At 42.0% G+C, this 26,289-nt stretch overlaps 1 long non-coding RNA gene across 2 annotated transcripts in view, besides 1 other annotated feature; it reads right to left on the reverse strand.

The window, feature by feature from the left end:
• LOC107984782 (uncharacterized) overlaps positions 1 to 26,289 on the reverse strand; it is a 208,325-nt gene that overhangs the window by 21,525 nt on the left and 160,511 nt on the right. The gene's annotated exons all lie outside the window — the stretch shown is intronic.
• Positions 8,786 to 9,287: an enhancer, noted in NCBI's record as "NANOG hESC enhancer chr15:61829371-61829872 (GRCh37/hg19 assembly coordinates)". NCBI's record gives its function as "activates a minimal SCP1, AML or CMV promoter by ChIP-STARR-seq in primed H9 embryonic stem cells {active_cell/tissue: H9 hESC(primed)}" and the evidence as "EXISTENCE:reporter gene assay evidence [ECO:0000049][PMID:30033119]".

Consider the following 26,289-nt stretch of genomic DNA (forward strand, 5'->3'; position numbering starts at 1 on the left):
CAAAGAGTGAGCGAGCCAGGCAGTTTGTCTCCTCATGGGTCTGGGGAGGGCTGAGGAAGGGAACTGCCTATCCTGAGTTGATTACTAGAGCAACCAAACAAGAGAGGAAGAAGAACGAAAATACTATGCAAATACGGCAGCCTGCTTTTGTCTCTTCTAACCACAAACTTTAAACGTTTGATAACAACATCAAAACAGCAAGTTTCTTTATCCCCGCTATTGTGTCAAATGATGGATTCAAGAAAGAGAGGTTAAGGAGATTTAGTCAGGGTCAGCCAGCAAATCAGTAAATCCTGGAAATGATTCAGTCTCTCTGCTCTCTCCTACTTCCCTTCACTGTTTTCTACTGCCATTTAAATAGGAAGCTGTGTGAGCAAACAAAACATCATAGGTCCTTTCTAGCAGGAATGCAAACAAACGCTAAAAGTCATTTCCATTTTTGACTGGATGCAAATAAATTTTAGGTATTCTCTCTCTTTATGTGTTTCCTGAATGATTGCCCAGTCATGTTTTGAAAGTGGGAGAAAGAGAATGTTTCTGAACCAGAAAAGTACCCTAGGACTAACTAGTTTTTCATAGGGGAAAACAGGTCTGTGACTGACCTGTGTATTTATCTATTAGCTGGTTAATGACCTGTTGCTACGCCGCTTTAGGATTTGGGAGAGTGCAGGAAGTATATTTTTGCTGACTTTGAGGAGAAGTTTAAAATGACCTCTGGAAACCTACTCAAGGCGGCCCTGTGATTTTTGTGGGGATGTAGGGGAGGGTTGTCTAACGTTAAAAAGTCTATCCCAACGTGGTGTACTTCAGGAAGTCTTCCCTGGACATACCACCCTCCCCGCACATTCCATATCCTCTTCCTAACTCTGTTTTCTCTTTCTCTTTAACATTTAGCACTATTTACCATATTATGTTTTTAAATTATTTATCACTATGTAAACATAGTTTTTATTTTATTTGTTTATCTTCTCCCCTAGTAGAATCTAAGTTTCATGATGGCAGATATTTTTCTTATTTTGTTCATTGTTTTATCCCCAGGATCTATTACAGAGCCTGGCACAGGGCATTGCTCAGGTATGACTGATTGAATAAATGGATGAAAGCGGATCAAAATGATAAATCATCAAAATGCTTATAAAACATCTGCTGTATGCGAAGCACTACAAGGTGATTTAAACAAGTATAAATCATAATAATTCCCTTGTATTAGTCTGCTTGGGCTGCCATAACAAAATACCACGGACCAGGTGGCTTATGCGACAGAAACTTATTTTCTCACAGTTCTGGAGGCTGGAAGTTCAAGATCAAGGTATCAGCAGGTTTGGTTTATTCTGAGGCCTCTCTCCTTGGTTTGCAAACAGTTGACCACCTTCTCTCTGTGTCCTCACATGGTCACCCCTTAGCCTGTGTCCAAATGTCCTCACATTTTAAGGACACCAATCAGACTGGATTACAGCCCACCCTAAGGGCCTCATTCTAACTTAGTCACTTCTTTAAAGGCCCTATCTCTAAATACCTTCTGAGATCCTGGGGGTTGAAGTAATCCTAAGAATGTTGGAGGGGGATATAATTCAGCCCATATTACTCCTTAAAAGGTATAAGATATATTAGAAAACCAAGACAGAGATCCTTAGATATAAAAAACCACCACATTATCGGGGAGAAAGAACACATGATATATAAGAAGTATAAGACATATCTGCAAGACAGATAATGACGCAGTGCAGTGTAGTAGGCATGCAGTAGCTCCTCCTCTTTTTTAGGTCTTGAGCAAAATACATACACTTCTGAGTCTTGTTCCTTGTCTGAAAAATAGGAATAATCAGATTGCTGAGACTAAATGGGATAATTTATGCCACATTCTCAACAGCTTGCGATGTAGTAGGTGTAGAGTAGATGCCGCTTACCTTCTTTCTCTCCTCTCTTCAAAAATATTCTGTTAGTTTTGGGTGCCACATTTTAACAGGGACCCTGACGGCATTCTGAAGACTATTGGTTCTAGGTGATTCTTTCCTTCCCCCTCCCAAAAGTGATATAACTTTCTTCTCTGATTATGTAACAATGTACATTCGTGTTGAAAAATCCTAACTAGAGACAAGTGAGGTAGAAAGTGAACAGAACCCCATAACAAATACCCACCCTGGCAGATGATAACCACTGTTTACAGTTTGGTGTCTAGCCTCTGGCCTTTTTCTGTTTTTATATAAACATATATTTGTTTTTCATATAAAAGTAAAGTAATTCATAATGGGTCTCTTTCTATGTCACTATGTATATATCCAGCCCATTTGTTTTTACATTTGCATTTCATTATATCGGGGAAGGGGGTGGGGAATGGGAAGACTCCCAGCACACAGTGAGGAATGCCCAGTTATACAAACTCATTTTTCTCTAGAACTGTTCAGGACCTTTAATATACACAGTGACTATCCAAGAGGATGATACAGAAAGTGGTATGTGCCCCGTTATTAAACTGTTTTGTCTCAGCTGTAAATGCCACCCCCCCCCCCCTCAACTCTGCCTGTAGTGCTGGGATTACAACTCTGCAAACCTCATTTCAGCCCGCCAGATTCCCTGTTAAACTCTGCCACTAAGGGGTGCTGGTGGATGGGGATGGGGAGAATGCAGGAGGGACTTCCTGTATGTTTCCTGCCTGTTTCCTGCCTGTAAGCATCCTAGCAGTGCTTCCCATTGACAGCAGCAAGTACTTTTGTAGCCCCAGCTGAATAGTTTGTTTCTTTCTCAACACTTACAGAACCAGCCTCTTGCATAAGAGGTTCCCCCACCAGGTGACTGGTACCCCTACTTCAGAGGTCTGGATCCTAGACCCTCGGTGCCTCTCTTCTTTTGAGCTCAGAGTCTAGCACCCAACAAGTGGCACCCCCTCCTCAGAGATCAAAGCTTCAGCTCTGTGGTGCTTTCCCACAAGCTTATAGGATTTAAAAGAATCAGCCCTATGGACACCAGCTAGTATATTTAGTAATACTAACCCTAGGGGTGAACACTCCTTCCTGCATTTGCTACCTCTGTGATAACTTGGTGTGCTTCTACATCTTCAGTTGCTTGGTTAATGATTTTATACCTTTATATTAAATTCCTTCTGTTCAAATGACTGGTAGGTTTCTATCACCTTTCTGGTCTGTGACTGATAGGAGACAATTAATATAGACCCTTCCTTAAGGAACAGCTCAAGGGTCCAGCATTTTGCTAAACACTCTTTGAGAAAGGTAGCTCTGAGCATTACTATTAAGTTAGAAAAAAAAATCATTTAAGAAAGGCTCAATTAGACTCCATGAGCCTCCCTGTAGAAATAAGGGAAAAGAGAGCAAAGGCTATATATGCTACCAATTTAATATGCAACCATCATTTTTCAGCAACTAGGTCTGCCATTAGTGAAAAGACTTTGAAGAATCACCAAGATGCATATTGAAAGTTAACCCTAAGGAGTTATGTTTGAGCCAAGACTTGCGGATCTTGAACATTTAATCTTCATTTGAGTTCATTTTATCATTTGTTAAAGTCTTTTAGTCATTTTGGCTTAACCATTTGTCATGCTCCTTTTCTCTTAGATGTGTGGATTGGGACACCTTTTCTTTAAAATATAGTGCTCAACCCAAAAAGCCATGAATATTCCCTCTCCACTTTACAAAGCTAATTAAATTCTCTTTCCTACAATAGTATTGATTCTTCCTGCCAACTTTTCCTTTAAAATATCATTCACACTCATCTTTTCCTACTCATTTCAGCTGCCACAACTTTCCTTTGCTTTCTTCTTCTCCTGCCTGGCCTGCTGTAGGAATCTTTCGACTATTCTAACTTCCAGCAGCTCCCTATTCCAGTTCACCCCCGCCATGTCATTACCAGACTGATTTGCTGTATTCACTAATTCCTCTGGTCGAAGCTCTTTCTTCAAAGTTTCCCACGTATCCACAGGTCCAACTTCCTTAGCATGATGTTCAGGTCTCCCTCAATCTAATCTTTGCAGTTTGATCTTCAGCAACTTATTTTCCTGACCCTATTACTGCGGTCAAACAACTTACTCATTGTTCTTAAATTGGCTGTTAGCTTTTTTTTTTTTTTTTTTTTTTTTTTTTTTTTTTTTTTTTTGCCTACAAGCTTTTCCTTACTTCATTGCCCTAATCAAGAATGTCCTACCTGTTCTTACTTCCCATCCAAATATCCTCTGGTCTTCAAGGCCTAAATCATTGCCCCCTTTTTTGGGGGGCAGGGGGACCGAGTTTTGCTCTTGTTGCCCAGGCTGGAGTGCAGTGGCACAATCTTGACTCTCCACAACCTCCGCCTCCAGGGTTCAAGTGATTCTCCTGCCTCAGCCTTCCTGAGTAGCTGGGATCACAGGCATGCACCAACACGCCTGGCTAATTTTTTGTATTTTTAGTAGAGATGGGGTTTCTCCATATTGGTCAGGCTGGCCTCGAACTCCTGACCTCAGATGATCCACCCGCCTCAGCCTCCCAAAGTGCTGGGATTACAGGTGTGAGCCACCGCACCCGGCCAATCATTGCCCTTCTTTAAGCAGTCTTTCCTTACTCCTCTAGTAAGCTCATCTTCTTTCCCTGAACTCCTACATCCCTCAGTGTTTTTACTCCTTAATAATACTAGCTACCATTTATTGAGCATCTACTACATGACAGGTATGTAGCTGGATACCTGATTATCACTAATCCTCTCTACCCTTTATCCTGTTTTGGATAAATAAATGGAGACTCAGAGAGGTTGAGAGTTTCCTGAGGTCATGTAGCTTGTAAAGAGGTAGAGTTTAGGGTAGAGGCTTCCTTCTTCAATTTTACCATGCTGTTACCTGTTGACCTTCAAGTCAGAAGGCCTGGGTATAACCCAGGCTCTGTCACTAATTAGCAGTCAAACCTTGCATGGATCATTTCACTTCCATGGACTTAATTTTTATAGCTCCATGGCTCCTCCTATCACTAACATTCTGAGATGCCATTCACAGAGGGTAGTGAATCTCATTATGCTTTTCTAGATGAGAGAAAAGGCCTCAGACAATCCAGACTGGTGTTTTTATTGAGCCTTGAATTCCCAGGAAACGGGAGATGTGGTGGGGTCGGGACACGGAAGCCATTGTTCTTTGCAGGATGCTTGGAGGCATCTTGTCATATTGAATTAAGCATTTATCTTTATTTAGAAACTCCAGAAATTTTACAGGAAGGGTTTGTTAAGGAGAGGGTTGAAATTGTCAACCTGCCATAGAATCGCAGATGAACAAAAGCTGTAGAGAGTTCCTTTTTCCCCTGGATAGCAGAGGGGTTTGCCTTTTCATTTTGTGGGCCTTATGGAAGAGCAGACACATGTCTCTTTTTACAGACGGGAGATTTTGTTCAGCAACTGCCAAACCAACCTGGGCCAAACCCCATGGAGACTATTTGAGAGCTGGAGATGTGCAGCTTTTGCTTGAACATATATCCTGACCCTTGAGCCTTGCGGGCTGAAATTGCACAGCACTGACAGAGCCATGCACACTGAAAAAGGAAGCTAATATCAAGGCAGAGAGGGGTCCATTTCAGTCACCGTTAAGTTGAATTCCTCAATGTCCTTACCCTGACCCTTGTTGTGGAAAGAATATGGCCTTTAAATTTAGGCAAACTGGATTTACAACCTGGCTCTTGTTATTCACCTTACTTTCAGTTTCTTGTTTAATAAATGAGAGTCACACTACTCACCTTATTGCATCATTTTTAAAATGAAAAGAAGTGATGAACATAAAGCACCTATATCAAAGTAGATACTCAACAAAGATTAGTTTCTCTCTCCACTTGTATCTTACATAGTTAACCCAGTACCAGCAACTAAACTGTATTTCTGAATTCAAATGGAGGTGTTGGTGGGGAGGGTAGGTTAAGACGGCATGTCAGAGAAAGAGGCCACATGAACACTATCCCACTCCATACATTCTCTCCTCATTTGAATATCCCATTTGTCAATTTTGCAAGAAAGTTAAAAAAAAAAACAAACCACTCATTGTTTAGGAGATTTCACGCTTTCCCTCCATCTTGCTTCTTGATGTAAATCCCAAAACAGTCCGTGCAGCATTTCTCAGCACTGCTAGCACCAATCCCAAGAAGTGGTTCTTCTAGCGCGCTTTTAAGGGCTCGCATGACTAATAAAGTGTGACATGGCTAAGATTTGCTAGCCTTCTCTTCAGTGCGTACATTCTAGCTGACAAAATATGGCTAAATTTAGCTGCCTTCAGACAACAAGCGTCTTACAAACAAAGAGGGCCGCAAAGGCGAAAATGAGCCATGACATGTCTCTGTCCTAACATGGATGTGCCCAGTATCGCCTTGGTACCCCAGCCCTCAGCAAAGACATCTATGCGTACGGGCAGTGTCTGAACTGGGTGCTGACGGTGGCAAGGTAGACTCTAGGTAAGGTGGTTTTCTTGTGGACTCTGACCCAAGGGTCCTTACCAAGGTGGAAGGATGGGGGTTTAGGCAGCAACAGAGTGAGTGAAGATAATAATCATAATGCCAGAGGTTTCCTTAGCCCTGACTGTGAGCCACCCTATGCTCTAACCACAACACCCCACTGCCTCCAATAACAATGCATTATCAAGACTGGAAGAGAGCCCAGAGAACATTTAACTTAACACTCAAATTTTGTGCTTGCAACCATCAAGGCCCCCAAATGGGAAGCAACTTTTTCAGGGTCCCATAGCCAAAGGGTGGCTGGTTTAAGACAGGAGCACCATGCTGCTGCCTCTCGGTCAACTTAAACTGCTTCACAGGAAAGAGAAGCGTGGGAAATCTGCCCAGACATATGGGAGGCACTTTGTGGAGGAGAATCATATGTTGCTAGAGCATTCTGAGAGCTAAAACTGTCTCCCTTCCAGTCCAAAGTTTGTGTAGCTGGATCCAAAACACTGTAAATGTATTTGGCATAGATGACACAAAGAAACTGACCTTTCTGTGGCAGGGAGGGGCACTGAACGTGACAGTGGACACTCCCTGAGTTCAGCCAGACACCCTAGAGCAGCCAAGTAAGGACCTCCAATCGACTGGAGGCTCAGATTCAAGTTCCACTGAAGCTCAAAGGAAGAGAGCCACAGTCCCCTGGGGGTGTCAGTGATGGAGCATGGAGGGAAATAGAACGATGCCTTTCGGTCCATTGTTGGAATTTCTGATCCAGGCACATCCTCTGAGTGCTGGGTATCACTTGTTGACAAGTGCATCTTTACCACCCCCTTATGCCCTCCCAGTGTCTCAGGGGAATGATGGCTGGGAACTGCATTGTTCAGACTCCTGTGCCAGCAGGGTTCCTGATACGGTTGCAGTTCTCCCCGCAAGATGCACTCATATGAGTGGTAGAAGTAGAAGCCATTGTTCCTCAGGCAGGGCGGGTGAACACATGGCTTTAGCCGCATGTTATCAGTCGCATCCATGTTCCTCTGACTGGCAGGGGTTACAGGGCCACCTGTGAACACCGCCTGTAGAGGTTTTCTGCAGTTTCTTGACCCCTGGGAGGTGGTGATAGCTTCCTGATTCTCAGAATCACAGCTTGGTGGTAAAGCTGAAAGCCAGTGGCTGACCCCTTGTTTCAACTTATCCAGCTGGTCCTTACAAAGCTTCTGAAAGCGCCCGATTCCCTGTGTTCCGTCCTTTTGTTTGAAATATATAAAGTGGCTTCTGTCCTCTTGACTTAGCTCTGTTGCTGAATACATTTAGTTATAATCAGAAGTAATTTGTAAAACACTTTCCTTGTGCTAGGACTATGCTAAGCATCATCTCATTCAATCTTCACTATAAGAACATAATCGTTCTCCTTATACAGATGAAAAAATGAAGGATTAAGTAGATAAAGTGACTTCCTGGGCTCACCCAGTTAGTGAATGGCAAGCTAAGGTGATCTGACTCCAGACTCTTAGCCACTTTGAAAATTGGCCCCCTTCATTTCCAGATGACAGCCTACCTCAGGAGCATCATGCCTAAGGCTACCATCTAGGATGAGCGGAATCTCAAAGGAAGGAGAAAAAAGTCAGGGTTTCAAAGAGGAAAACCAAGGGACTTATTCCTTGTCCCTCCTCTACAGCTGTTCCATAGCTGATGAAATTCCACAAATATGCGCCAAGCTCCATGTACCCAACCCCCCACCTTGCATGTCCTTACTCTGTTACTCCTCACCATCACCTGCGTGATAGGGATTACTGCTGTCATTTTGTGGATGAGGCCAACTCAGATCTCCTCCATGGAGCCTTCTTCACTTGACCACCTGCCCCAGTCAGAAGGAAGGCTTCCCTTGCATTAATTAGTGAAGGAATGGCAAACTGTTTCTAGCTCTCGTGTGGCAGGGATCTCAATTCATTTTGGATTGGGGTAAGCTGCATGTACGTTCACCTCTCCTGTTGGTTTGTGTCAGTTGCCAGGTGGCACCTTTAAATCAGACTACAGCAGGACCTTGAAGATGCCTCCTTGCTCTTTAATGGGGTCTCCAGAAGAACCCTGACCATCAGAATTTGGTTATACAATCCCCCAGCTCCTCTTCAAAGTCCCATTTCCTAACACATCTGCTTCCCTAAGTTTCTGACCTTGACTCCTGACCACCGCTCTGAGTCAGGTATGTGCTCACTTAGCTCTGCTTATCCTTTGACCTGACACCTGCTAATTGCCTGGTACATATAAACTGGAGCTGGATCTATACTGACAGATTGTTCTCACAACTCTCAATGGTCTGACTTACTTTTTCCAGGAATAATTCCAGTGCTCACATGGTATATTACTCCTCGACCCTATTTCTGATTGCCAGATAGCCTTGGGGTTTCTCACTGCCAGCCCAGTGACCCATTCTTGGTAGAGACTTGAGAAACGTCTGCTGAGTTGAAATAAAAGTGTATCTCCATAATTTGGGGAAAAAAACCTCAGAAATGAAAGATTACTGAAATTGACAGTTATCAAAGGAGAAAGAAGGTGTCATCTGCCATATCGGGGGCACTAGGTAGGTCAGGGAGGATGAGGATGGCTCAAAAGGTATTTGAGGAGGTGTTTGTCAGTTTGATTAGAGAATTCAGACAAAGCAGATTAGATAGGATCCAAAAGAAAGAAGAAAGATGCATGAAAGCGACTGAAAGTAGAGACCACATGGGGCTTTATAAAGCTGAAAGGCAGACCCGGGGAAGCAATTGTCAGGGGATAAGTGTCAAGAAAAGGCTTTGTAGGGAAAAGAGGCACAGGAGGGAAGGGGAGAGGAGAGAGTGAGCTCTCAGAAGATGGAATATAAAATAGGGAAACAGGTCAAAAGCTTAGGAAACATATTAAAAGGGAACAGAGAAGAATAAAAAAAAGAAGAAAGATGATAGGAAAGAGCAGGAGAAAGACAACTACAAATTCCACTAAGAATTAAAAACGAACAGGAAGATCACTGAAAAATCCTTCATGAGAGCAAAATGAGCTAAATGCATACTGGGAGATTCCTGTCATTGCTCCGAAGTTTTTGAGTTTTCAGAAACACTTCTGGCACTTCCATGATACAGGCATACCTCGGAGATATTGAGTTCCAGACCACCACAATAAAGCAAGTCACACAAATTTTTTAGTTTTCCTAGTGCATATAAAAGTTATGTTTGCACTATGCTGTAGTGTATCATGTGTGCAATTGCATTATGTTTTAAAAACCAGTACACACACCTTATTTTAAAATACTTTATTGCTAAAAAAAAATGCTAACGATCATCTGAGCCTTCAGAGAGTCATAACCTTTTTGCTGGTGGGAGGTATCGCCTTGATATTAGTGGTTGCTGATGGATCAAGGTGACTGTACTGAAGGTTGGGATGGATGTGGCAATTTCTTAAAATAAGGCAGCAGTGAAGTTTGTTGCATCAGTTGACTCTTCTTTTCATGAAATCTTTCTCTGTAGCACATGATGCTGCTTGACAGCATTTTGTCCACAGCAGTACTTCTTTCAAAATTAGAGTCAATCCTCTCAAACATCGCCACTGCTTTATCAGCTAAGTTTGGGTGGTATTCTAAATCCTTTGTCGTCATCTCAACAATGTTCACAGCATCTTCACCAAGCACAGATTCCATCTCAAGGAAACACTTTCTTTGTTCATCCCTAAGAAGCAACTCATCTGTTTAAATTATATCATGAGATTGCAGCAATTCAGTCATATCTTCAGGCTCTACTTCTAATTCTAGTTCTCTTGCTAGTTCCACCACATTTGCAGTTAGTTTCTCCTCTGACGTCCTGAACCTCTCAAAATCATTCATGAGGGCTAGAATCTTTCAGAAGATTTGAAAAAAGGAATGGATGTCTTTCAAATACCTGTTAATGTTGATATTTTGACCTCCTTCCATGAATCACTAATGTTCTTAAATGGCATCTAGAATGGTGAATCCTTTCCAGAACTCTTTCAATTTGCTTTGCCCAGGTCTATCAAAGGAATCACTATCAATGGCAGTTATAGCCTTACAAAATGTATGCCTTCAATAATAAAATTTGAAAGTCAAACTGACTCCTTGATCGATGGGCTACAGAATGGGTGTTGTGTTAGTCTTGAAAACAACATGAACCTCCTGGTACATCTCCATCAGAACTCTTGGGGGGTCCAGGTCCACTGTCAATGAAACCATGCAGTAAACACATGTGCTGCCTTCAAGCCTTTGTTGTTTTATTTCTAGGGCACAGGCAAAGGAGATTTAACATAATCCTTAAGGGGACTAGGATTTTTTCAGGATGGTAAATGAACATTGGTTTCAACTTAAAGTCACCAGCTGCATTAGCACCTAACAAGAGAGTTAGCTTGTTCTTTGATGCTTTGAAGCCAGGCATTGTCTTGTCCTCTCTAGCTATGAAAGTCCTAACTGGCAAATTCTTCCAATAGAAGGCTGCTTTGTCTACACTGAAAATCTGTTGTTTAGTGTAGCTGCCTTCATCTATGATATTAGCTAGAACTTCTGGATAACTGCTGCAGCTTCTACATCAGCACTTGCTGCTTCACCTTGCACTTTTATGTTCTGGAGATGGCATCTTTCCTCAAATCTCATGAACCAACCTTTACCAGCTTCAGACTTTTCTTCTACATCTCCCCCACCTCTCTCAGCCTTTGCGGAATTTAAATGAGTTAGGGCTTTGCTCTGGATTAGGCTTTGACTTAAGGGAATGCTGTGGCTGGTTTGATATTCTATCCAGACCACTCAAAATTTCCCCATATCAGCAATAAGCCTATTTTGTTTTCTTATCTTTGGTATGTTTACCGTAGTGACACTTTTTTTTGAGATGGAGTCTCGCTCTGTCGCCCAGGAAGCGATTCCCCTGCCTCAGCCTCCTGAGTAGCTGGGATTACAGGTGCACGCCACCATGTCCTGCTAAATTTTTTGTATTTTTACTACAGATGGGGTTTCACCATGTTGGCCAGACTGGTCCTGAACTCCTGACCTCAGGCTATCCACCTGCCTTGGCCTCCCAAAGTGCTGGTGGCATGAGCCACCACTCCTGGCCTGTAGTGGCACTTTTAATTTCCTTCCAGAACTTTTTGTTTGCATTCACAACTTGGCTAACTGGTGCAAGAGGCCTACCTTTTGGTCTGTCTTGGTTTTTGGCATGCCTTCTTCACTAAGCTTAATCATTTTTCACTTTTAACTTAAAATGAGAGACATGTGACTCTTCCTTTTACTTCAACACTTAGAGGCCATTGTAGAGTTTTAATCCTGGCCTAATTTCAGTATTGTGTTTCATGGAATAGGGAGGCCTGAGGGAAAGAGACATGGGAATGGCTAGTTGGTGGAGCACTCAGAACACATAAAACTTATATTGATTAGGCCAGGCACAGTGGCTCACGCCTGTAATCCCAGCACTTTGGGAGGCCGAGGCGAATCACAAGGTCAGGAGTTCGAGACCAGCCTGGCCAACATGGTGAAACCCTGTCTCTACTAAAAATACAAAAAAAAAAAAAAAACTAGCTGGGTGTAGGGGTGCACACCTGTAATCCCAGCTACTCAGAAGGCTGAGGCAGGAGAATCGCTTGAACCTAGGAGGCGGAGGTTGCAGTGAGCCGAGCTCGCGCCACTGCACTCCAGCCTGGGTGACAGAGAAAGACTCTGTCTCAAAAAAAAACTTTTATTGATTAAATGCCTTATCAGCTTGTTGACTTGTTGTCTTATATGAGTACTGTTCATAGTGCCCCAAAACAATTACAATAGTAACATCAAAGATCACTGATCACAGATCACCATAACAAACATAATAATAAAAAAACTTTGAAATATTGTAACAGTTACCAATGTGTGACAGAGACACAAAATGAGAACACGCTGGTGGGAAAATGGCACCATTAGACCTGTTCAATGCGTGGTCACCACAAACCTTCAATTTACAGCAAGTGCAGTATCTCTGAAGTGCAATAAAGTTATGGTGGTTAATACTGTCAACTTGACTGAAGGATGCAAGGTATTCATCCTGGGTGTGTCTGTGAGGGTATCGCCAAAGGAGATTATCATTTGAGTCAGTGGGCTGGGGAAGACAGACTCACCCTTAATCTGGTGGGCACAATCTAATCAGCCGCCAGTGAATATAAGGCAGGCAGAAAAACATGAAAAGGAGGGAGACGGGCCTAGCTTCCCAGGCTACATCTTTCTCCCATGCTGGATGCTTCCTGCCCTCTGATGTCAGACTCCAAGTTCTTCAGTTTTGAGACTTGGAGTGGCTCTCCTTGCTCCTCAAGCTTGCAGACAGCCTATTTTGGGACCTTGTGATCATGTAAGTTATAAGTTAATACTTAATAAACTCATATATATTCTATTAGTTCTGTCCCTCTAGGGAATCCTGACCAATACAAAAGTAAAGCACAATAAAATAAAATAAGACGTGTGTATATTGGTAAACCTATGCTAGAGTGAACATCAATAACAAACCATCCGCAAATTTCATTGCCTTGAATGACAGTGGTTTGTTTCTTGCTCATGCTATAGGCTCATTGTGGGCCAACTGCTATTCTGTCCTCACTTAGAGACCCAGACTGAAGGAGGCTGCATCTCACTGTGTCCCCAAATGCTGAGACAGAAAAAGAACATGGAGAATCACGTGCTGGCTGTTAAAGCTTCTGCCTGAGACTGAAGCATATCGTGTCCACTTACATTTCATGGACCACCAGTGAGTCACATGGCTATGGCTGACATCCCAGGAAGTGAGAGTGTCATCCTACTACATACTCAAAAGAGATAGAAATACTTGATCAACAGAATTAAAGACTAGTATGTGGTAAATTCTCTGGTTCCCTATTTCCAGCCTGGCATTTTCTTCTCCAGAATTCCCAGAGCCATAAAGTGGCAGAGTAGGAAGGAAGGAACCTGGCAAAGTGCCTAGCCTAGCTTTTCAAACTTTTTGGTAGGGAAACTGAATCTCAAAGAGATGAAGTGGCTTATTGAGGACCACGCTGCTGATGGAACAGCCAAGCCCCTGATTCTCTGCTTTCCTTGCTGCTTGGACCACACCAGGGCACTTGTATTAGTTTAACAAATATCTACTCATTTGAACTACCAGATTCATTTCATTTTGGAACAGGCTTTTAATTACTACTATAAGAAAAGGAAGGGTTCTTGCCAAATGCCTGGGTGCTGCCAAGTTCCTTGTACCTCCAATAACGAATCCCAACCATATAAATAAATAGAAGGCAATTAAGAGTTTGAAATAAGAATTTGGGTAGGATTAGAGAGAAATGTTTGATGATACACATTATCACTTCTGCAAAACATAGAATTATTTTTGGCCATTAGAAGAGACATGCATAACTATATATGCATATATATACATATGCATATATATACACACACACATATATATATACACACACACACACCACATATGTATAGAAATATATTTGCATCTATGTAGACTATTTCCAGAAAGATGTCCAAGAAAGTGGTAATAGTGGGAGGGCATCTGTGAGCAAGAGAGAGACATACATTTTCCCATATGCCCTATTGTACTGTCTGGAATTTTCTACCATGCGTGTATTACTTTTTCAATAAAAATAGTTAATAAAAAACACAAGTAAGATTTTTAAAAGTAACAGATGTCAAAACATGCTTAATGGGGCTCTGCAGTATCTTTCAGAGTAATGTGAAGCAGAACAAGATGAGGAGAAAGACGAAAATGGAAGCAACTGACAGCACTTTCCAGCAGGCAGTACATTTTTTAGCAAGTTGCAATATATTTTTATGTCAGACAAGCATAATTTAAATATCATTAGGCTGGGATAGTCAAGATCTGGGTTCAAGCCCCCCAAATGCACTGTAATCTTTTACTGTTACTCTGGGAGGAAATTACTTGAACCTCTCTGTGGTTCAGATTTACTATCTGTTAATAGGCCAAGATTTGGGTTTCTTCCATCGAGGTCTGCTTGTGCACTGGCCACTTGGATTTTATTAAAGAGCCAGCACATGCAGTAGAAAGATCACAGACATGCTCTGGTTTGCATTCTACACCACCAACTTACTAACTGTTACATTTTAGACCTTGAGCAAATTTTTTAAATCTCCCTCCATTTTCTATAAGGTTGGGTAATGTCTGCCTTCCAAATTGCTGCAAAGATTAACTAAATGGCAATACAGTCATGTGTTACTTAATGACAGGTATATGTTCTGAGAAATGGTCATTAGGCGATGTTGTTGTGTGAACATCATAGTGTACTTACACAAACCTAGACAGTATAGTCTACTGTATACCTAGGCTGTACAGTATAGCCTATTGCTCCTAGGCTACTCACCTGTACAGCAAGTTACTGTACTGAATACTATAGGCAATTGTAACACAATGGGAAGTATTTGTGTATTTAAACACATCTAAACATAGAAAAGATGCACTAAAAATACCGTATAAGAGATCAAACATGGTACACTGGTACAGGGCATTTACCATGAATGGAGCTCGCAGGACTGGAAGTTGCTCTGTGTGAGTGAGTGAGTGAGCGAGTGGTGAGTGAATGTGAAGGCCTAGGACATACTGTGGACACTACTGTGTGTACACTACTGTGGACTCTATAAACACTGTACACTTAGGCTACACTAAATTTATAAAAATATGTTTTCTTCAATAGTAAATTAACCTTAGTCGACTATAACTTTTTTACTTCATAAACTTTTAATTTTTAGCTTTTTGACTCTTTCATAATAACACAGCTTAAAACACCTACACAAAAATATTTCCTTATATATCCTTATTCTATAAGCTGTTTTCTGTTTTTAACATTTTTTACCTTATAAAGCTTTTTGTTAAAAATTAAGACACAAACGCACGCATTAGCCTGGGCCTCCACAGGATTAGGATCATCAAGACGTCACGAGGTGATAGGAATTTTTAGCTCCATTATCTTAGGGGACCACTGTTGTACGTGAAGTCTGTCATTGACCAAGTTGTCATTATATAGTGCATGACTATACGAAGAATTCCTGGTACTTGAGGGTGTGCAGAAATGTTAAATTCCATTCTGAAACCATCTCAGCAAACTAACTGAGGATCCTACAGCTGAGGACAGAAATTACCCATTTCTGGCATCTATTTCTTTCCTTTAAATGAGTCTGTGTTGATGTAAACAAGGATGGGACAGGCCCAGATGGACGTGACAACCTTCTGGTAATCAGAATCTTTTATGCCTAACACATCTAATGCCTGGTCCCAGCCAGTGTGTCTCTACAGTGTTTTCGCAGCAAGGAACAAGCATCCTAACAAGGCAGCCTAATCAAAACCATGATAATAATTTTATAGGTCACAAAGTGCTTTTATACATACTATTCCATTAAATCTCCAAAACAAGTTGTGACTCATTCATTCATTTATTCAGTCATCAATTCAATAAATATGTATTGACCATCTGCTATGTGCCAGGCGCTGTACTAGGCACCAGAGATACATCGATAAACAAAGAATTCTAGTACCTGCCCTCCAAACTCTTACAATATAATGTGAGGAAGCATATATTAATTGAATAATCATACAAATAAATGACAAATTAGAACAGTGCTGAGTGCTTTCCAGGCTGAGACGGCAGTGTGTGCAAAGACTCTGTAGCAGAAAGGAAAGGGATCTTACTCCTAGGGAACAGAAAGAGACCAAAGTGTTAATGGCATAGCTTGAGATGAAAAAAGGAGATGCTGGAGATGTGGGTGGGTGTGGGGGAGTCTTTGCAGGGCCAGGGAGAAATTTCCTTAGGAACTACGGAGAACTAACATTTGACAGTGGCCAACTTCAGAGAGCTGAGCTGACAAGGTACCCTAAAGAAGATGCTGGCTATAAACAGGTAGAGGAGAAGCATGCAGGACTGGCAGACTTGGGTTAAATCATCGATGCTTCCTGAAGGGAACTGTAAAATCCTGAGGGAGTCCTTGTCCTGTTTGTGTCTCCTAAAAGCTCTACAAGGGAGGGAGGTTGGGATTCATAATCCTTATTTCAAAGGTGACAAGAGCCAACGAGGTTATACGATGTTTAAGGGAAAGAGGTGACTTTAGGGCTCTTCTTTAATAAGAAATTCATGGCTTCAACACTTTGCTTGATACCTGTATCTTTTTTTTAGTTCTTTCTTCTAGTTCACAGATACTTACTTTTATTATTGTTGATGGCCTTTGGAAATTGTCCCAGTCCCCAGAACCAAGCAGTAAACTCAGTGAGTCTGCAACTGTGTGGCGCATCTTGATAAGTGGGGACTCCACAAACTCAAGACTGTGGAAATCTGTCAACATTTTGGCAGATATTTTAAGGGAGAGTGGGTTGTAAGTCTTGAGGTAGTCATTGGAATAGACAGCGGTTCTTAACCCTGGTTGAACTATGCCTGGGTTCTGCCCAAGACCAACTAAACCAGAACCTCTGAGTGAGGCCAAGTTTGAAAAGCTCCCGGGAGACTCTGCTGTGCAGCCGAGGGAAGAACCATTGTGTGGAGAAGCACACCTCCATCCATGTTCTCTGTTGTCAGTTATGTGAACTTGGGAAAGTTCTGCCTCAGGACCTCAGTGCTCTGTCTGTACACTTGTGGAGCTGTTCCAGATACTCTCAAAGACCCCTGCCAGCTGAGGCCCTGCAGGACTTTGGTTCACTTTAGGAAGCATGGCAGCAGCCACCACGATCCCTATGCTGGCCTGGGGTCTACCGCTGCCTGCCCTAAGTTCTTCCTCCAATTTGAGGCTATGGCATCATGGAAAAGGCGCTGGGCCTAAAGTCAGTTCCCAGTCCACACATGCAATGTCTTAGCTGATCAACATAGGAAATGGCTCTCGAACTTTCTAGACCTTGGTGTGCCTCATCTGTTAGATGGTGCTAATGTTAACCTTTATCATTTGAGAAAGCAGGATGCTGGACCAGAGCAACCCCCCAGACCCTTCCACCTCTAACAGCCTGAGAGAGTCCTAGTCTCCACCAAGGAATAACATTTGTAAGAATATAAATACAAACACGCAGAGCAGGTTCCCTAGGGTGAATGTTCTGTGGGCTCTGAAGCTAATGATCCACTCACAATATATTCATCCTTATCTCCACTATGCTATGCTGACCTGCAGCTTGACATTCCATTAGCAACACTGCCCAGAGCTCTGAAGCAAACTGGGAAGAACTGGGGCTACAGAATCTATTGTAATCTGCCTACCAGTCTCCAAGGTGCTGAAAGCTGCAGACGCATGGAAGCAGCATTGTTATTGCTGTTGGGAACACAATGTCACCATCAGCAAAAATGGGATGACGAAAGGGAGATCCCAAATTCGTGCAATGTGTGGCGTGGCCTGACTGATGGGCATCTGTTACCACTTATGTGCTGTGATCTCCGAAACTCCAGCCCTCTCCTGAGCTTCGTATTCAACTGTCCACTATGTTTTTAATGGCATTAATACCTCAGCCCGTTGCCCGAGGCATTACACAGAGGTCACCACAACACATACCTCTCCTTTACCTGGTGCACTGAGAGCTGTAAAATCTCATGCTGAAATATCTTGCGTATTCCTCCCCTCTTCTCTAAGCCCTTCCTGATCAATTGCACCAGCCTCTTAACTGCCCTTCTTACAAACTTCACCCCCTTCAATCTATTCTGGCTGAATGACTTAGGACACAGTATAAATGTCACCCTAACTCCCTAAAGGAGACCTTTCATGTCTTTTTTTTTTTTTTTTTTTTTTTTTGAGATGGAGTCTCGCTCTGTCACCCAGGCTGGAGTGCAGTGGTGCGATCTCGGCTCACTGCAAGCTCCGCCTCCCGGGTTCACGCCATTTTCCTGCCACAACCTCCCGCGCAGCTGGGACTACAGGCACCCGCCACCAAGCCCGGCTAATTTTTTGTATTTTTAGTAGAGATGGGGTTTCACCGTGGTCTCAATCTCCTGACCTCGTGATCCACCCTCCTCGGCCTCCCTAAGTGCTGGGATTACAGGCGTGAGCCGCCGCGCCCGGCCCATGTCTTTTTTCATCTGAAGAGATTGCCCCAGTATTTCTTTCTCACAACCCTACTTAGTTTCTTCATAGCCCTCATTACAGTCTACTATTACCTTCTTCATTTGTTTGTTGGCTTCCCCACTGTCTGTCTGTCACCCCACTAGAATATTTTTTGCTCATATGAGGCTCTGATATTTAACACAGTGCCTGGTACATGATAGGCTTTCAATAAATATTTATTGGGTGAATGAATGAATACAAAAATCTCATCAGATAAAGTCCAAGGTCTCATCCTTGCACACCAAGCCCCCCAGCATGTGGCCTGAGCCCACCTCTTTGCTCTATCCAGGGCACTTGCTCCCCATGCCCAACAATAAGGAGGTTTCACTATTCTCCAAATTGCCATGGCCTTGAATGTTCCTGGGAACTTTTATATGCTGGTCCTGATGCCTAAAATGGCATTCTCTTTCTTCCAGCAAACTCCTACTCATCTATGAGAAACCAGTTCACATTTCACATCTTTTAAAAAGCTTTCCTCGCCCCTGCCAATCTCTCTTTGGCACTTCCGTGGCACTCTGAGATACCTCTACTGGATCTTTTTTTGCACTTCATTTTACTCACTTGTTTAAGTGACTGCCTCCCACTCTGGACTGCAAGCAATTTATGAGCAAAGATTCTCTCTGTTCATCTTTGTTTTCCATCAGCACCTAGTACAGTCTCCAGTTCACAGTTAATGAATTTCTAGGAATTATGCCTGCAATTCCAGAAGCTGTCCCACATACATGTTGATTCCTTTAGAAGTCATAGAGACCTATAACTGGAAGAATTAAAGAGCTGATGCACCTGTACATCCTAACCATCCTCACAGGACACACCCAGGCACTCCAGTTATCTATGGACTTTCAATTGTGTCATGGAAAGCAGAAAAATCTATTTTTGGCAATATAGTCAGGTAGGATAGAAACAAGGAGATAGTCTTCCACTTTATCCTTCTGCTGGAGATAGATAGTCTTCCACTTTATCCTTCTGCTGGAGATAGCCATCTGTCATCTAACATTATTGAGTACCTGGTATGTATCAGGCCCTCCCAAAGTCAGATAGAACATGGATAGAACCTGCAGGGGCTCATCGCCCAGTAAGGGCAAGAAACTCTGCCTAGTTTAACTTAAAACCTAATCATTATTAAATAAATGAAGATTTCACCCAAGTTGGCTTTCCTGAAGGCCAATCAAGTAGCTCTTCATGGTTGCACAGGGTGGCTCACACCTGTAATCCCAGCACTTTGAGAGACCAAGGCAGGAAGACTGTGTGAGCCTAGGAGTTCGAGACTAGTCTGGGCAACATAGCAAGACCCCATGTCTACTAAAAATAAAAAGTAAAAAAAAAAAAAAAATTTGTCTGGCATGATGGCACATGCCTGTAGTCCCAGCTGTTCAGAGGCTGAGGCATGAGGATTGTTTGAACCCAGGAGGCGGAGGCTGCAATGAGCTGTGATTCTGCCACTGTACTCCAGTCTGGGTGATAGCAGATGGCACTGTGATCTGGAGCACCTGACCCACACCGACAAAGAGGCACGAGGGAAGGTTCCCACTGTGGCAGAGCTTCCAAAGTCCATGGTGCCAGGCAGCCTAGGACATGTTCATAAGCTACAGGGCACCACAAAAATGTGCTGATTTCAGAGCCTTCCCTAAGTTGCCCTTGAATCATCAGAAATATACAAAATAGCCCTTAGAAAAAGATCACTTGGATTTCCTGGATGGCTTGTCCCACTGCCCCAGAACACTGGCAGATGTCCTGATTGTTTATGGGCTTCACATTTTTTCTACTTTGGGGAGAAATGCCTCCAAGTGTGCAGAGCACAGGGGACAGATGGGCTGCCCCTCCAGGCTGCTATGCTCTTGGCTGCCAACTGGAAGAGATAAGCTTCCAGTATAGCATCCCCTATGCATCTGAAAGATAATGTCCACGCTCTTCACCCGGGGTGGACCTCGGGAAGGCCAGCATCTGCTCACAGTTATTCTCCCCTCCCTCATCTCTGGCTAATACAGGGACACGTATCCCCAGGATGACCTAACCTAACTCAGGCTGAGCTAACCTAACTCAGGCTGAGCAGGAGTCCTTTTGAGATCTAGAATCTTTTATGAGCTTTTGGCTTCATCTCCATTTTTGGTTTTAAAACCCAAATTACATCTACTGCGTTCCTCAACAGAAAAGCTCCACTGGCCAGAAGGGAATAATAAATTTTATAAATTAGCCAATTAATCGCAACAGCAAACAATTAAGCTGGTGGGAATAGTCAGCATTCTACCTTCTTCTTGGAGGAATATTTTAGGATGTCTATAATTTCTGTTGTTGATGTTGGTTAAATTTCTATCAGACTTTAGAGATTGGCATTAACTGGGCTAATTCATAATGAAATAAAGATGATTTGAGATACACCTCTCTGAAAGTATGTACCAGTGGAGTTTCTCAAGTTTGTTTCATTCAGCTTGTGAAATGGTTTTCTGAAGGAGACAGACAACTTTGATTGACCACTCCTGGGGCACAGTCACGGCACCTGTTACTCAAGGAACACACTTATGAGCACAAGACAAGACACTTTATCGGTGCTGTCTCATTTGGTTTCATGAACCTTCACGGCCCAAGACTCAGAGGGTCTGTGGCCTGCCCATTCTACTTCTCAGGGTCTCACTCAACCTCACCCTCTGCTAACGTTTTAAGAAGTGGAACTTGGAGACTTGCTCACATTTTTCTGGTCATCAAATGCCTATAATTCCTAAATTTCTTTTCACTGCTCTGGAGAGGAAAATGAGACCCTGAATAGTGATGATAGACATAATAAGCTACCATTTCTGAAGGGTTTATATGTGCCAGGGGTTCTACTCATATTTTCAGTCATCATCACAAATCTTCTATATTATAGATCACAATACCCATTTTATAATTACAAAGCAAAGGTTCAAAAAGGTTATGCACTTGGCCAGAGCTGCAGAGTGGATTTGAAATCAAGTTGATCTGCTCTGAGGTCTATATTTTTTTAGCTCTTCCATGGGCCAAGAAATGGGGTATTGGACACTCAGGAATACATGCTATGTGAAACAGGCCAGACCAAGTGGTTCACGACCTAGGCTGTTGAATAGAGGACCCAGAGTCCAGACATTGACCAAGCAGGTCAGGGTCAAAGGGCCAGTTTACTCTCTTGTAAGAGGCACACAGAGCCAGTGACAATTACTTCAGTCAGTAGAAAATCACCAGCATTTTTATCACAGTATCACTGTGACAAGGTGGGGTGAGGGCAATGGGCTGCTATACCCATATGCCTAATCATATACCCAATCACATACCCATATATCTATACCATATATGCATATATCTATATGCCCATATATCTAAAGTCAGAAATTTAGAGCTGGAAGGATTCTGAGAGACCATTGAAACCAACCCCTCCTTTTAGAGCTGAGAAAGTGAAAAACAAGAAAGGACAGGTACCTTGCCCAAGTTCCTACAGTCTACTGGTGGTGGAGTCAGGGTTAGGACCCAGGGATCCTATATCCTAGACTTAATACATGTGTTATAGCGTTGGACATCTATGAAGCAAGTCAAACATAGCCTCTATTTTTTTTTAAATAAGAGACTATGATTAACAGGGAAACACACATAATATACATAATTCCTTGTGACTATGGAAGGGAGCCTACTTTACAATTGAGGGGGTCAAAATTCCAGAGACGGAAAGAATTTCCCCAGGCCCTATAGATGGCAAATAGAGATAGAACTAAAGTTCAGGTTTCCCAAATCTTAGCCCCCTGCTCCTTCCCCTCCCTCATTCTTTTTCTTAAACCCACTCCCCTACTGCCATACATCCAAGTGACCTTGAGCTCAACAAGATACTATGAAAAAATAATCTCACTACGTACCAGCTAATAAGGACCTCTCTAGAAGAACAGAAATCTTTAATATATAAAATAATGAATACTTAATGATTACAAATAATGAAATAATACAGTAATTAAATTCAGACCAATACACTTCCTTATTGACATATTAAGTTCAAATATTCGTCAAGTATATCCTAGGCGTGCAAATAACAATAACTGTGCTTATAATGGTAATAACAACTTACTGGCCACCATTTTTATACACTATCTTATTTGACCCTTAAAACAATTCAGTAAGTAAATATCCTCATTCCTTACGCATAAATGCTAGCTTCCTATTTCAATATTCATTCTTCCCTTCCTTTTAGAAATAGAAACTTAATTTCCAGCAGGATATATTTTTGCCTAGTCAAATGTATTTCAGATACTCTTACACGTAACTGTGGCTTTATAACTAAATGAAGCAAGATAATCATATGAATCTTCCGTGGAGTTTCTGTGGCTTCAAATAGCTTCATAATCTTCTATGCCTTCTTCCTCATTCCTGCTCCTTAGAACATAACTCTAATGGCTGGAGCCCTCACTGCCATTTTGAACCATGAGGATAATGACTTTATCCTAGGCATGGTTAACCAGAGAATTTTAAGGATTCAGAGTCCTTGATCATTTTGAGGAGCTACTGAACAATTGCTGGACCACCTACCCTGAATATCCTTTTGTGTGTGTGAAAAAAAAAATTAAGCTTGTTTAAGCAACATAACCCTAGGCTTTTTATTAAAACAAAAATCTAATCCTAGCTGATTTAATTCTATTTTGCCAATGAGGATAAGGAAGCTTAAGGAGGTTAAGAAACTTCCTCCACTTCTATAGAGAAAAATAGCATCTACATAGGATGCTATTTTATGTAACATAAACCTATTTTACTTTGGGGGGGAAATAGGAAGAATACATATCCCAGGTTCACTTCCTGTTAGATTTGGATCATGTGACTGAGTTCTGGCCAGTGGAATGTGAGTGGAAGTGATATATATCACTCCCAGGCCAGGTAATAAAATCCCCTGCACTATCATCAATGCTTGCTGTTCCTATTTAGTAGTGATCATCTATGCTGAGGATGGAGGTCTCACAAAATAGAAGGACCTTGAGTTTTGCATGGCTTTGGGGAGCAGAAACTCCCACCATGCCCTACAGACCCATGTTTAACTGTAACATAATAGGGAAATAAACGTTAGAGTATTAAGGTACTGAGATGGTGGGGTTGTTACAGCAGCTGGTGTTGACTACCCTGACTAATTAAACTTCTTTCAACTAGTAAGTAGAGAAGCTGAAATTTGATGGCTGCAATCGACTCCAAAACGTATGCTTGGGTCTCTGCCCTGGAAAAGTTCATGGCAGGTCATGAGAAGATGAATGGGTACATTGTTAGGTTCAACGGAGTTTTAGGGTTGTATAACAGAAGTTTGCAGAGTATACAACATGGTGCCGAGAAGGTAACGGTCAATTTTGAAGGTCTGAGAAAGCATTGGTCAGGAGTAGGGAAAGGAGACATTATACTAGTTATTTTTAGTATATAAAGAAGCTTAGGGTAAAACTTCTGTCCTCCATTACCTTATAACCAGGCTACGACAGCAGAAAAACTACAGAGGAAATAGTGGGAGGCAGTGCAGTGTGTGATTAAGAGACAGACTAAGTGACACAGATACTGAGAGCTTTTCAAGAGCTGAGCAGATAAGTGGAGTGAAATATGGAGTGGGCAGGGAAGACTTCAAGGAAGAGTCTGACTCCAAACTAGACCTGGAATGACAGATGGGATTTGGGTTGGCGGAAGAAAGATACAGGAAGTATTTCATGGGAAAGAAACAGTAAGAGAAAAGGCAATGGTGAAATTTCTCATTTAACAAATGCATTAAACCCGTATAAAGTGCCAGGGAGTTTGCCTTAAACTTGAGACAAAGATAAATCTGACAAATTTCCTGTCCTCAAGAACTCCAGAGGGAGTGAGAATGTCTCTGGATCAGTAATTACCACAGAATAAAAACTGCTCTCAGAGGTGGTGCAAAGGGCAGTGGGAACATAAAGGACAGAGGAAGACCAGGAAGGAGTTGGGCAATGATCTGGCCAACAGTACATGGAAGACTTCACGGGGTCCTGAAGCAAGAGTGATAATTCTCCAGGCTGGTAAGGTGCAAGCAGGGAAAACCATCCCAAGCACGGGAAACAGCCTCTGCAAAGGGGGCAAGAAAGAGTATGGTGTGTTCACAGATAGTAATACAAGTCATGAGGCTATAGTAGAGATTTACACTAAGATGGAGTAATGGGAAGGGAGACTGGATAAAGAAGCAGAGGGGATTAGGAAGATTTTTAAAAATCTAGGCAGAAGAATGTACGTGAAATGGAACAATGGGGAAATGCCCACAGCATAAATAAGTGTTATGTGGAACAGGTACAAATAAGCTATTCCTTTAGAAATATGCGTGGAATCCAGACCTCACTTTTCTCACATTGGGGCACATGAGAGGAGAAGATACAGATTCAACATGGCTTAAAAATATGGAGGGAAAGTGTCAGTCAAGTTACAGGGCAGAGTTCCTTCCATCTCAGATCTCAGCCAACCGTGGCAAGGCTCAAACTGGGGAGTGGCAGAAGTAGAGGTGCATAGAGAGAAGGTGAGAAAAAGATATGGATAGTAAAGAGAATGGTTAGGAGACGTTAATAGTGGAGGTGACTGAAAGTGGAAAACTAAATAAGGCCTTCAGGAACCAGATGTTTTCTCCTCCTCTTCTTCTAAAAATATTGAATTCCTTACTCTGCCATCATTTTCCAAGTGTGTTTATGATTTAGCCGTGAACTGTAAGTAAAAGATCAACAAATTGGAGATGATCAAAATTTAAGAATCTGCTGTTCCAAAAATCACTTTTAGGAAAATGAAAAAAAAAAAAAAAGTAAGCCACAGACTGGGAGGAAATATTTGCAATATACAAATCTGACACAGGACTTCTATTTACAATCTATAAAGATGACTCAAAACTCACTAATAAGAAAACAAATTACCCAGTTAAAAAACAGGCAAAAGATTCGAATGGACACTTCACCACACCAGAGTTATGGATGGCAAATAAGCAAATGAAAAGATGGTAAACATCACTAGTCATTGGCAGTATGCAAATTAAAAACCATGACAAGATAGCACTACCTATTACTCTAATGGCCTAATTTTTTCTTTAAAGGACAATACCAAATGCTGGTAAGGATGCAGACCAAATGAGATTCTCATACATTGCTGGTGGAAATGCAAAGGGGTCACTTTAAAAACCAGTTAGCAGTTTGTATATAGAGTTAAATATACACTTACCATATGACCAGCAATTATGCTCCTAGGTATCTACCTATGAGAAATGAATAGTTATGCCTATATAAAAATCTATGTGCAAATGCATGTAACAAGTTTAGTCATAATCACCAAAAACTGGAAGCAAACTAAGTGTCCTTCAACTGGTGAATGGAAAAACCAATTGTGGAACATCCATACCATAAAATACTACTCAGCAATAAAAAGGAACAAACTACTGATACATGCAACAACATAAATATCAGCATTTTTCTAAGTAAAGGAAGCCAGACTCAAAGGTCTAGATACCATGTGCTTCCGTTTACATGACATTCTGGAAATGGCAAAACTATTGGAAGAAGAATAGATTGGTGATGGCCAGGGGCTGAGACTGTGGGAGGAGATTGACTACAAAGAGGTAAAAGAGAACTTTTTGGAGTGGTAGAAATATTCTAGACCATGATGGCAGTAGTAATAGCATGGCTGTTTACATTGTCAAAAGTCATAAAATTGTTCACCTAATAAAAAAAATTCATGCTATGTAAGTCACACCTCAGTGACTGTTACTGAAAAATAAGAAACAAACAAACAGAAAACACCAGTGCAGAGAGGCACAGTCTCTTGAAAGGTGGCTATGGAAGGAGCTTCAGCCATGTCTCTGGACATGTGGTTCATGCCTCTTCCTCAGTGGCCATTGGCTGACTCTCC

Source organism: Homo sapiens, chromosome 15 (assembly GCF_000001405.40).
Source record: "Homo sapiens chromosome 15, GRCh38.p14 Primary Assembly".
NCBI classification, from domain to species: Eukaryota; Metazoa; Chordata; class Mammalia; order Primates; family Hominidae; genus Homo; species Homo sapiens.